This window comes from Homo sapiens, chromosome 7 (assembly GCF_000001405.40).
Source record: "Homo sapiens chromosome 7, GRCh38.p14 Primary Assembly".
Classification (NCBI taxonomy): domain Eukaryota; kingdom Metazoa; phylum Chordata; class Mammalia; order Primates; family Hominidae; genus Homo; species Homo sapiens.
This window is the reverse complement of record NC_000007.14, coordinates 42659856-42672366: the sequence shown is the minus strand read 5'-3', so window position 1 is coordinate 42672366 and position 12511 is coordinate 42659856. Positions and strand designations below refer to the sequence as shown.

General features: G+C 35.7%; 1 long non-coding RNA gene across 1 annotated transcript in view, besides 1 other annotated feature; it reads left to right on the top strand.

The window, feature by feature from the left end:
- LINC01448 (long intergenic non-protein coding RNA 1448) overlaps window positions 1-10641 on the top strand; it is a 44722-nt gene extending 34081 nt beyond the window's left edge. Inside the window, exon 3 of the long non-coding RNA NR_110833.1 lies at window positions 9875-10641. This is a non-coding gene — a long non-coding RNA (long intergenic non-protein coding RNA 1448). The remainder of the gene's footprint in view (window positions 1-9874) is intronic.
- Window positions 10121-11320: an enhancer, noted in NCBI's record as "P300/CBP strongly-dependent group 1 enhancer chr7:42700646-42701845 (GRCh37/hg19 assembly coordinates)". NCBI's record gives its function as "activates an origin of replication core promoter dependent on BRD2, BRD4, P300/CBP, MED14 and CDK7 cofactors, with strong dependence on P300/CBP, by STARR-seq in HCT116 cells {active_cell/tissue: HCT116}" and the evidence as "EXISTENCE:reporter gene assay evidence [ECO:0000049][PMID:35650434]".

The following is a 12511-nucleotide window of genomic DNA, read 5'->3' as shown; positions in this document are numbered from 1 at the left end:
TCTAGGAAACATGACTTGAGGCATGTGCTGCTACTTTGCTCCAATTTGCACTGGACCAGATACTCATGACTTCTCCTGGTTTTCACACTCCTTGATTTGGATGGAGCATGATAGTTAAACACTGAGAGCATGGTCTTCACTGCCTGAGTTTCACATTGTTCTGAGGGGCCTTTTTATGCTTCCCAGGGACAGGTTTTCCTGAGTCTTCACTAAATTTTCTGGGCAGAAGGAATAGCAGAAAAAGCACAGAGATGGGAAAACATTTGGAGTTTTTGAGGAACTAAAAGAAGGCCAGTGTGTTTGGAAAATGATAAATATATGTTAGAGAGGTGGTAAGTGAAACTGCAGAGGTGGAGAGGGCTGAGCTGAGCAAATCCCTGCAGGTTGTGGTGAGATGCTTTTCCCTAATTGAGATGAGGTTTTTACTTTTTAACAATCCAATTAATCAAGTAAACGACAAAGCTTAAGCAATAGAGCATGACTAATAGTGTCAAACACCTTCTTGTGCCTCTCATTGTTACTACTCCCATCCTTCCCCAGCTAAGTTTCCACTATTGTGAAATTTACATTTATGAATCACTTGCTTTTGGTATGGTTTTGCCTCATAAGAATGCTTTCCCAAACACAGATATTGTGATGCTTCATATAATTTTGACTTTTATGGAAAAGGAACAGTTCTACCTGTCTTCTTTGGCAACTGTATTGATGTCTCAACTTTTCATTTTCCCAACTCACCCATGTAGATGTGTGCCAGTGTAATTATATTTCGCTATGTATAGTATTCTATTGCATGGCTATACCTATAGACAGCAGCTGTTTCCAGTTATTATTACAACAAATACTGGTGTTATGTACATGTCATATTGGATATGCTTGCAAGCATTTCTCTGGGACATAAAATAAGAGTAAAATTCCTGAGCCATACCTTATGCATATCTCCAAATTTAAGAGAAAATGCCAAATTGTTTTCTAAAATGGTTGAACCAGTTTACATTGTCAGCAACAGAGTATGAATCCCCATTGTTCTACATGCTCACAAAATGTTTTTCATTTCTTAAAATTTACCAATCTTTTGGGTTTAAGAGTGTATGTCATGATTTTAATTTGCCTTTGGTTCATTATTAACAAAATTGAGCATCATGTCATTTGTTAATTTGTTTTCATTTTTTTTAATGTGTTGCCTATTTATATTCTTGCCAATTTTCATGTTACTTTTTAAAATTGATTTATATAAGTCCTTTCAAAATATTAGATAATAATCCCTTTCGGAGATCATGCATTGAAAATATTTTTGCCTGGGCACGGTGGCTCATGCCTGTAATCCCAGCACTTTGGGAGGCCGAGGTGGGTGGATCACGAGGTCAGGAGATCGAGACCATCTTGGTTAACACAATGAAACCCCGTCTCTACTAAAAATACAAAAAATTAGCTGGGTGTGGTGGCGGGCGCCTGTAGTCCCAGCTACTGGGAAGCTGAGGCAGGAGAATCGCATGAATCCGGGAGGTGGAGCTTGCAGTGAGCTGAGATGGCGCCACTGCACCCCAGCCTGGGCGACAGAGGGAGACTCCGTCTCAAAAAAAAAAGAGAATATCTTTGCCCAATTTGTGACCTTTTTAGGTTTAATGATAACAAGTTCTTTCGTAATAATAATAGATTCTTTCATAAACAGATATTTATAATATGTACATAGCAGAATTTATTTTCTTTTGAGTTTTGCTTTTTGTATCTTATTTACTGAATCCTTTTTTTCCTGGAGATAATAAAGATCCACCTTCTCTTCCAAAGTTATCAAGTTTTATTTTTAAGTCTTTAATTCATCTGGAATTAATTTTTCAGTTGGCATAGGGGTATAAGTCTCTTATTTATTTTTCTATGAGATTAATCCATCGGTCAAGCACTAGGAATTAAATCCTTTTCCCATTGCTCTGCCATGCTTCTTCTGTATATAATATTTATTGTATCTGAAGTTGTTCTGGATCTCTTCCTACTGTCCTGCTTTTCTTAGATGTTTGCTTAAGAATTTCTTACACTATTTCAGAAGTTTGGTGATTTTTTTAAAAAAGATTTCTATGCAGCATTTTAAATTCTTTTCAGTAGGAAGTTTAGTCTAAAGAGCTGGCCTGCCATTTTCAACATCTGCAGATTATTTAACTTTAAATCAGTCCTACATTTCTGGGATAAACTCAATTTAGCCATTGCATATTTATTTTTAACGCTGGTGAATTTGTACTGTCAAATTATGTTTAGGATTTTTGCATACATATTTATGAGTGGTACATAATGTTCTTGTACATAATTTTCTTGTACATAATGTTCTGTTTATTTTGTCATACTAATCTTAGGTTCATCATATAATGAGTGAGGAGTGCACCACCATTTATGCTCTCTGGAAGACTTTAAATAACACTGGAATACTTTGTGATTTGAAAGTTTGGTAAAATTTTCCAGTGCAATATTTTGGGCTTGGTGTTTTCTTTCTGGGAAGATTTTAACCAATTGATTCAATTTCTTAATGTTGCAAGATTTTTCTTGCATTCTATTTGCTAAGTTATATTTTGTAAAAACATGCCATTTTCTAAGTATTTAAATATGTTGATTAAGGTTGACTTTTAAAAGCATTTTCTTTATATTGTTCATGTATGCCTTTTCTTCCTTTTGTCTTGAGCAATGTCCTTAGAGCTTTGTCTCATAATTCTTTTCTGATAACCAGCTTTAGGCTTTGTTCATTGTTTTAAATTTTATTTTCTATTTCATTAATATCTGATATCATACTTATAGCTTCTATCTACTCTATCTACTTTTTTTTTTTTGAGTTGGAGTCTCACTCTGTTGCCCAGGCTGGAGTGCAGTGACACAATCTCAGCTCATTCCAACCTCTGCCTCCTGGCTCAAGCGATTCTCCTGCCTCAGCCTCCCAAGTAGCACGGATTATAGGCATGCACCACCATGCCCGCCTCAGCCTCCCAAAAGCCTCCCAAATCCCATGCTAGGATTACACATGTGAGCCACCACACCCAGCCCTCTTCTATCTGTTTTTTTAAAGTTTATTTTGTGATTCTTTCTGCAGCTTCTTTAGCTGAATACTTAGCTCATTAATTTTATTTCTCCTTTCTTTCTAATAAGACATTTAAGACTAAACATTTTCCTCTAAGAAACACTTTAGATTTAACCCATTTTAAGTTTTAAAATGTAGTTTTTATGTACCATTCCATTCCAGTAGTTCATACTTTAAAATATGATTTTGACTTTTACTTGTGCATTATTTAGAAGCACATTTTAAAATTTCCGTATAAATACAGTCTTTTTTTTTTTTTTTTTTTTTTGAGACAGAGTCTAGCTCTATCACCCAGGCTGAAGTGCAGTGAGTGATCTCAGCTCACTGCAACCCCCTACCTCCCGGGTTCAAGCGATTCTTCTGTCTCAACCTCCCGAGTAGTAGCTGGGACTACAGGCGTGCGCCTTTTTCTTAGCCATCTTTTCGTTTTTAGATTTGTAAATTAGTTCCATTGCTGTCAGAAAACACAATCTGGCTGATACCAGATTTGCTGAGATTTTTTAAGAGCTTAGTATGTAATGTTGTAATAAATATTACAGTGTATATAAAGCAGATAGAAAATGTATATTCTTTAATTATTGAGTACTTAGTTTTCTATCTACTTATCTATGTATTTATCTCTCTCAAGCCTGTAAATTGTATTGTTCAAATTTCCTGTATCTCTACTATTGGGGATGTTAGTTTGACTTATCAATAACAAATGTTAAGTGATTCCCACTATGATAGTGAATTTGTCAGTTTCTCTTTGTAATTTTATTTATTTATTTATTTATTTATTTATTTTTTGAGATGGATTTTCGCTCTTGTTGCACAGGCTGGAGTACAATGGCACAACCTTGGCTCACTGCAACCTCTGCTTCCCGGGTTCAAGAGATTCTCCTGCCTCAGCCTCCCGAGTAGCTGGGATTACAGGCATGCACCACCACGCCGGGCTAATTTTGTATTTTTAGTAGAGACGGGGTTTCTCCATTTTGGTCAGGCTGATCTCAAACTCCTGACCTCAGGTGATTCACCCTCCTCGGCCTCCCAAAGTTCTGGGATTACACACGTGAGCCACCACACCTGGCCTCTCTTTGTAATTTAAAAAATAATTTTGTTTGTATACTTGAGATATTAGGTTACTTGATTCCTAGTAATGTGAAATTTTTTCATTGTGTAGCAACTTTTTTACTCTCCAATAAATAATCTTATATGAGAAATCTATTATGTCTGAAATTCACAGAACTACACTTACTTTGTTTGGTAATTTGTTTAGTACATTATTTCTATCCTTTTATATTTAATCATCTAATATCCATGATATCTTCTTCTTATTGTACAAATGTCTATTTTCTATATAGTCAACAATTGTCTTTTTTTTTATTTGTTTAGTTTCATACAATATGACGTATCCAAACTCTCTCCTGTTTAACAAAGCCACCTGTAAACACTTCAAACACATTAGGTGTTGTATTGTTTTCATTTTCTTGGAGACTTCTGACCTACTCCAGAATGCGCTAATTGTTCTCTAGCTCTACTACTTTTGCTGGGATTTTGGGAATGTGTTTGCCTCTTTCCTGAGTTGGAAGCTGTTTCTTGGATCTGATTTCTTTCCTGCTTTTGGCAACCCTCATTGTTGGGTTTAGGAGAGTGTGCTGCACAGACAGTCTTAGTTGCCCCACAGATCCACTCTCCGGACTTTTCTACTACTTTGTGTCCTGCGAGGCTGATTTTTATGCACTGCATAAATCTCTTGCTCTCTGACTTTGCTAGTGGACTAGGCCAGCAGGAAGCACCAACAGGAGACAGAAGAAGAGGGGCACAATGCCAGAGTGTTTAACCATGGCTTCCCTCTGTCCTAGTCCCCACTAGCTGTCCATGTTCCTTCACTGAATTCCACAAGTTCCTAGGGCTGCCCTGACTGAAAGTAAAGCTACTCTTTTTCCAGAAACCACTGCCCTCCTCGGCCCTTCTGGCCTAGGGATGATAATTGTTTCCCATCATTTCTAGCACAGGAGTGCTTCATCCCCTTTCCTCCTTGCTGCCTGCCCCACACCTTTGTAAAATATACCTCAATTAGACTCGATTTCCCTCCTTTTCAGTGTGCCCTTTATTTCCTGCTGTCAACCGAATTGATGTAGGTGTCACTGGCTTCCTGAGAAAGTATGCATGGGAAATAAATATTTTATACCCTGCACATGTAACATTTTTATTCTACCCTCACAATAGAGTAACAATTTGATACCTATGTAATTCTGTTCACAAAAAATTTTAATTAGAATTTCTAAGACCTTATTCCATTGCCTTCTATGTTCCAACATGGTTTTTACAAAGTACATTCTTAGGATCTCTTCCTTATCCTCAGTATACTGAAATTTCATAATGTCATCTGTTGCCTGCCCAGTTTCATCCATTATACTGGGTACCAGATGGTAATTTTCAATTTGAAAATTGTGTTCTTCATGTCTGGAATGTTTTTGAAGTATCTCTGTTCACCCTGGACTGATTTTCTAAGTATCATTTGTATCTTTGCTGTGTCCATTGTTTTCCATGTTGTCCTTTTGCTCTATTTTTCTGGGAGACTTCCTCTATCTTAGAACTTTTCTGCTGAGTCTTTCATTTCTGTCAATGTGATTTTTATTTCCAAGTGCTCTTTCCAATTTTATTATTATTTTTTAAAGCACTCAGTTCTTGTTTTGTGGATGCAATATAATTTCTTATTTCTCTGAAATTAATAATAGATTTTTAAAGTATTTATCTCCCTTTATAGTCTGTTTGATCCATGCTGCTTTTATTTATTTTTGTGGACTTTGTCTTCTGTGCTTGAGAACTTCTGCTGCAGTGCTGTTGTTCTTGGCTAGTTGCTGATTGCCAGAGCAGAGTTCTATGTTGTTGATTGGCAGCTCTGATCACATGGCTGGAGGTTCTTGTCTGTAGATTGCCTATAGCGTGAACTGGTCTCACCATTTTCCTGGAAGTCAATCTCTTTAGGTTCTTTTTGTTTGTCAGGTAAGATTATACAAAGAATAAATTTGCATTGCCTATCCTCCATGCCTTACCCTTCTTTTTTATATTTTCCATCTCCTGAGCTTTCTATGCTGCCTATTAGGTAAGTTTCTTTATTTCTAACTTTTACCTTACTAACTCTCATTTCAGTTGCCTAATCCATTGAGGGTTTTTGCTTTTACTGAAATAATTATATCTATTTCTAAACCTGATCATTTTGGTAGTGCCACACTGCTTGCTAATTTTTTACAGTCCATATTTATCTTGAAATATTTCAAACATATTGACTTTATGTTGTAAATGTGATCATTGTAACACCAGTTATACTGGAGAGGCTCTGATCTTTGTTCTTTATCTGCTTACTTTTCTACCAAACAGTGTGGTAGGTTTCCCCAGTGTATGGAAATACACTCTCTGGTATTCTAAGCTCCTACTTAGTTGAACATGAACTATTGTATCACTGGCGATAATTTTTTTCAGAAAAATGTGAGTTTGATATGAATAACATGTTAACATTTAATTAAACTTTTTTGGGCTTGGATTTTCCTGTATGCAGGAAGTGTGAATTGAACCCTAGATCTGCTGGAGAGCAGATTTAGGATTGCAAATTCTTAGTGAGAATCATTATTGTTTTATCTCATTTGTAGCAGGATGAAAAGGACAGGCAACTATGTATCAGTCAGAATAGGCTGAGTAATGCTGAGTAAGAAACAACAGCCAAATCTCAGTGACTTACCCAAGAAGAGTTCCTTTTTCTCTTGTGCAAAGCCTGATACGGATCTGAAAATCTCTTTTGGAGAGTTGTCCTCCATGCAATGGCTTTCAAAACACACGGCTTCAATTCCATGGTGTTTTTAACTTAATGTGATGTGTTAGAATTTACCACAACAGGAAGAAGAGAGCTTGGGGGAATTAAGCACCAAGAAATCTACATGGAAGTGACACATGTTATTTTTTCTTCCAAATGATAATTGAGAGAAGAAAATTTACTGAAGAAAAAAAAGTAAATGAGAAGGAAAAAATGATTGTAAAAAGAAGTAAGCAGAAGGAAAGTTCTAGGAGGTGAAGTAGAGTCTTCCTTTGTTTAAGACATTAGGGACCCAGCTGAGGAAAGCATTTCTCAAATATGGCATCATGGTCACTATTTTTACTAGAACTACAAGCTCCTGTTGCTTTGGGGAGTAGTAGGTCTAGAAGGTTCATATTTCCCTACCGTAGAAGACAAACAACTTTCATACATTGCTGCTTTTGAGTCTTGGTTATTTCCATATCTATCCAGTGCAGATTCAGGGAGAGGGCTGGGAAGTGATTGATTCAGCACCAATGACTAATTTGAGTAATTCAGGATCTCAAACATGACTTCTTATTTAATTAACTGGATGTTGCACATAAAGCTGTCGCATGCCCTTAATTTTGATTATTCTTTTCTCTCTCCAAATTTTTATTCCCTGCCTCCTTTTTATCCCCCTTCTTTCTATTCATAACTCAGACTAGCCATTGGCCACCATCAGTTTTTACAAGGTTATTACTGTTAAAAGTATTTATTAACCATTCAATATATGATTAGCCATTTTCTATTTGTCCAATTGTTTTATGTGTTAGATAATTTAATATTCATGATCAAACTGTGTGGTAGGTTTTATAATTAGCCCCATTTCTCAGGTGAAGAAGTGGAAATAAAGTGGGGTTCAGCAAATTGCCCAAGGTCACTCAGGGAGTAAGTTGTAGAGCTGAGGTTTGAACCTATGTCTTTAGGAATCAAAAGCCTGCATTCTTTATCACTCTGCACTGATACCTCAACTTAAGGCCATTTATGAAAATCAATGGAGGATTTGCACTTAGAGACCAACCCATAGGTTTACTCTTATATTACAAGATTTCCATACTCTGAAGAAAGGAGCTGCTAGATTATTTGTTGTCTCAGGCAGGGTTGAGATGTGCTGTCGGGAGATGGTGGCTGTACTTGGGCAATGTCTTCCATCTTCAGAGGGAAGAGCATCTGAACTCTCGGGACTGCCAGCCCAGCCCTTTCATAATTAGTGAATTCACTTAGTTGTCCACCCAACTCCAACCCCTCACCCCAGCTTAAAGTAACGTTGGAGAGAAAGGGTTCTAAGTCAGCTTTTCTGAAGGCAGTGGTAGCAGACTGATTTTTACAAGCCTTTCTCTTAGTAGGAAGCCATCGTAGCATCAAAGCACACTTAATCACCAATTAATAAATTAAAGTGGCAGGTGCATGCTGGGAGGAGTCATACGTGTTTAAGGATCACTTAAACTTGCAGTGAGGCAATTTGCTCTGGGTGAAGGCAGAAACACAATGTAGATATACCTGAATGTCCTCAGAGATTTCATTCTACTTAGAGTTGTTAATTGGGTTTGGAGGTTTTGGTGTGTGGGTAGGTGTGGTGGGACATGAATATGGAAAGGAAAGGAAAACTGGGACAAGATTCAAAAAAGACTTGTGTACACATCATTTGGGAAATTAGTTTAAAGGTTAACAAGGAGCCATTGGGACTTTTTGATTTGTAAACATGTATATTAAAAAATCACTTCGTATTTTCATATTATATTATAACCTTTCTGAAATCTTTTAGAAGACAATATTTCTTGAGGTTGAAGAAATATTTTCTTCAAATTCAGTGAGTCCTTCAAGTTTCTTTTTGGTGTTTTTATTTTCTGTGAAATTCAGTTAAAATGAAAGTAATTACTTTGAAAGTAACATATATAATATAATGCCATTTAAAATAAGTTTGCATATTTATATATCCTTTCCTTATACATGCAAATATACATTACATAATGGAATGCTGTCAACAAGGCTATTATATGTGGGCAATGGAGTTTAGCCAATTTGTACTTATTCTTTGAATTCTTTATAATAGTCAAAACAGTAAATAAGGATTCCTTAGATGATCCTGTTGTATGATAAATTCCCTTCTTATTCAATGCACTCATGGCAGATGAATTTAATTCATACCTATGAAGATCCTGGATAACTTCCCAGTCTTTTTCTCCAGACTGTCACATATCCAAAAAAACAAAACAAAACAAAACAAAACAAACACAGATCTGTTTAGACAGTTCCAACTGGATAATCTTAGGCATTCAAATTCTCTCTGCAAGGACACTGAACTCATCATTTACTCTCCACTCAAATCAGTTTCTTCTGTATTGTCCAGAAACTGAGGAGTCATTCTTGATTCCTGTCTTTGTTCACTAAAACATTCAGTTCCAAATCCCTTTAATTCCACCTCCTCATTAGTTCTTTCCATTCCCCTTGCCCCTTGGTACAGGCTCTCAGCCCTTACTTCTTGAATTACAAAAGCTTAAATCCTCTTGATCTGAACTTTGCCAGATGGATCTTCCTAAAATACAAATCTGGTCTTATCACTCCTCTACTTAAAAGCCTTCAGGACCCACCACTTCCTCAGGATTAAGTTCAGACTAGTGAGTTTCGGCAACCATTAAGCTATTTTCCCATTGTCATCTGGGCTCTGTTGTTGCAGATGATAACGTTTGCATTTAGAAATGTGTATGTTTGTAAATCTTGCTCTGTTTTTGTTTTGTGTTTTAAAGATTTAATCTTTATTGTTGGTTTTCTGCTGTTACACTTATGCCTAGGTGTTAATAATTTTTCTGTTGTTATTATTCTGCTCGAACTAAATATGCTTGCTAAATTTGTAGACTCACATTTTTGTTTTTATTCTTCCCAATTCTCAAAAATATTTAGCCATTTTGATGCAAATATTACCTTTGACTCACTGTATTTACTCTTTCTAAAATTCTTGTTAAATATAAGTTGAACCTGTTTCTATGTCTTTTGTTACTTTTTAGAAAGCTTTACTGAGGTTTATTTGATACACAATGATCGTATCATTATGGCTACAAGAAAAGTAATCAACAAAGTATACACTTGGATAAATGTTGACATAAGTATATACCTGTAAAACTATCACTACAATCAAGATAATGAACATGTCCACGTGCTCCCAAAGTTTCTGCACAATCCTTCCCATCCTTCCTTGTTCTTGGAACTGCTAATCAACTATAGGTTAGTTTGCATTTTCTGGAATTTTATATTAATAGAATCATATAGTGTGGACTCTCTTTGGAGTTTAGTTTCCTTCACTTGGCATAATTATTTTGAGATTCACCCTTGTTGTGGCATGTATCAATAGTTTATTCTTATTTATTGCTGACTAGTATTTCATTGTATGGGCATACCACAGTATGTTTATTCCTTCAGCTCGTGGTGGATATTTATATTGTTTCCAGCTTTTTGCCTATTGTTTTTAAAAGCTGCTATAAAAATTGTATTCATGTCTTTGCATGAACATATGCTTTTATTTATCTTGAGTAAATGCCTAGGAGTAGAGTGGCTGTATCATAAGGTAGATGTATATTTAACTGTTTACGAAACTTGCTGACCATTTTCCAATGTGGTTGTATACTTTACATTCCCACCAGCAATGTATGGGAGTCTATTCCTCCACATTCACACCAATGCTCGATATGGTCAGTCTTTAATTTTAGCCATTCTAAAATGTTTGTAGAGTATCTCATTGTGTTTTTAATTTTAATTAAATTTCTGAAATAACAAATTATATTGAGCATCTTTGTATGTGCCTATTTGCTATACAATAGTTCCCACCTCATTTGTAGTCTTACTTTCCAGTTTCAGCTACCTTTGGTCAACTGCAATCCAAAAATATTAAATGGAAAATTCCGTAAATAAACAATTCATAAGTTTTAAATTACAAGCCCTTCTGAGTAGCATGATGAAATTTTGTGCCATTCAATCCCGGATGTGACTCATCCCTTTGTCCAGCATATCCACAATGCCTATGCTACCCACTTGTTAGTCACTTAGCTGCCCTGGCTATAAGATTAACTTTCTTGGTACTGCAGTGCTTGTGTTCTGGAAACCCTCATTTTACTTAATAAAGGTTCCAAAGCACAAGAGTAGTGATGCTGGCATATTTTTATAATTGTTCTAATTGCACCATAAGTTATTACTGTGAATCTCTTACTGTGTCTAATTTATAAATTAAACTTTATTGTAGGTATGTATACATAGGAAAAAATATCTATCCTATTGTATATTATCTATCTATCTATTTATAAGGTTTGGTACTATCTATGATTTCAGACATCCACTCGGGTTCTTGGAACATATCCTCTGTGAATAAGGGATAGCTTCTGCATGTAGATTTTATTCGGTGGAGCATCTGTTCTTTTGCACATTACAAAAATTGATTGTTTTCTTATTATTATTGTTGGGTTTTAAGAGTTCCTTATATATTCTGGATACAAGTCCACTATCAGATCTGTGATGTTTTCCTGCAGTACGTGATTTGACTTTTTCTTGTCTTAACAGTGCCTTTTGTAGAACAAAAGTTTCATAATTTTGATAATGTACAATGTTCCATTTTTTTCTTTCATAAATCATGTTTTTGGTGTCTTACCGAAAGGATTTTTATCTAACTCAAATTTGCAAAGGTTTTATATTTTCTGCTGTAAGTCTTATAATTGTAGGTTTTGCATTTAAGGTCAAAATGATGATTTTGAAATTTCGACTTAATTTTTTACTTGGTATGAAGAGTGAATTGAAGTTCTCCTTTTTTGGCATTCAGACATCCAATTGCTTCAGCATCTAAATTTTGTTTGTGTCTTTATAAAAATTCAGTTGACCATCTCTGTTTGGGTTTATTTATTAACTCTTTATTCTCTTCAATTGACCCATTTTTTGACATTGATACACTAAACTGACTTGTTTATAAGTCTTAAAATCAGGTAGTGTTATTACTCCAACTTTCTTTTTCTTCTTTGAAGTTGTTTTGGATATTCTAGGTCCTGTTCTTTTCCATACATATTTTAGAATTAGTTTGTCAACATCTACCCCAACACTTCCCCCCAAAAAAAGCCTGGTGGGATTTTGATTGGGTTTGAGGTTTGAATCTATAGATCAATAGATCAAAAACAATATTTTTTTAAGAGTCAGGATCTCACTCTAGGCTGGCGTGTAGTGGCATGATCACAGCTCAATGCAGCCTCGAATTCCTGGACTCAAGGGATCTTATTGCCTCAGCTTTCTGAGTAACTGGGGCTACAGGCACATACTACCATGCCCGGATAATTTTTAAATTATTTTTTGTAGAGACAGGGTCTTACCATGCTGGTCTCGAACCTCTGGGCTCAAAGGATTGGCCTGCCTCGGCCTCCAAAGTGCTGGGATTACAGATATAAGCCACCATGCCCAACCTAGATCAATTTGAGGAGAATTGATATCTTAATATTTAGTCTTCTGAGCCATGAATATCTCCATTTACATAGGATCCATGTAAAATTTTCTCAGCCATATTTTGTAGTCTTTATGCATCTATCACAAGTTTTGTCATCTATATCTCTCAATACTTATTTTAACGCTATTATAAGATGTGTTGGGTTTTAGTTTGAGTTTTTCAATTATTT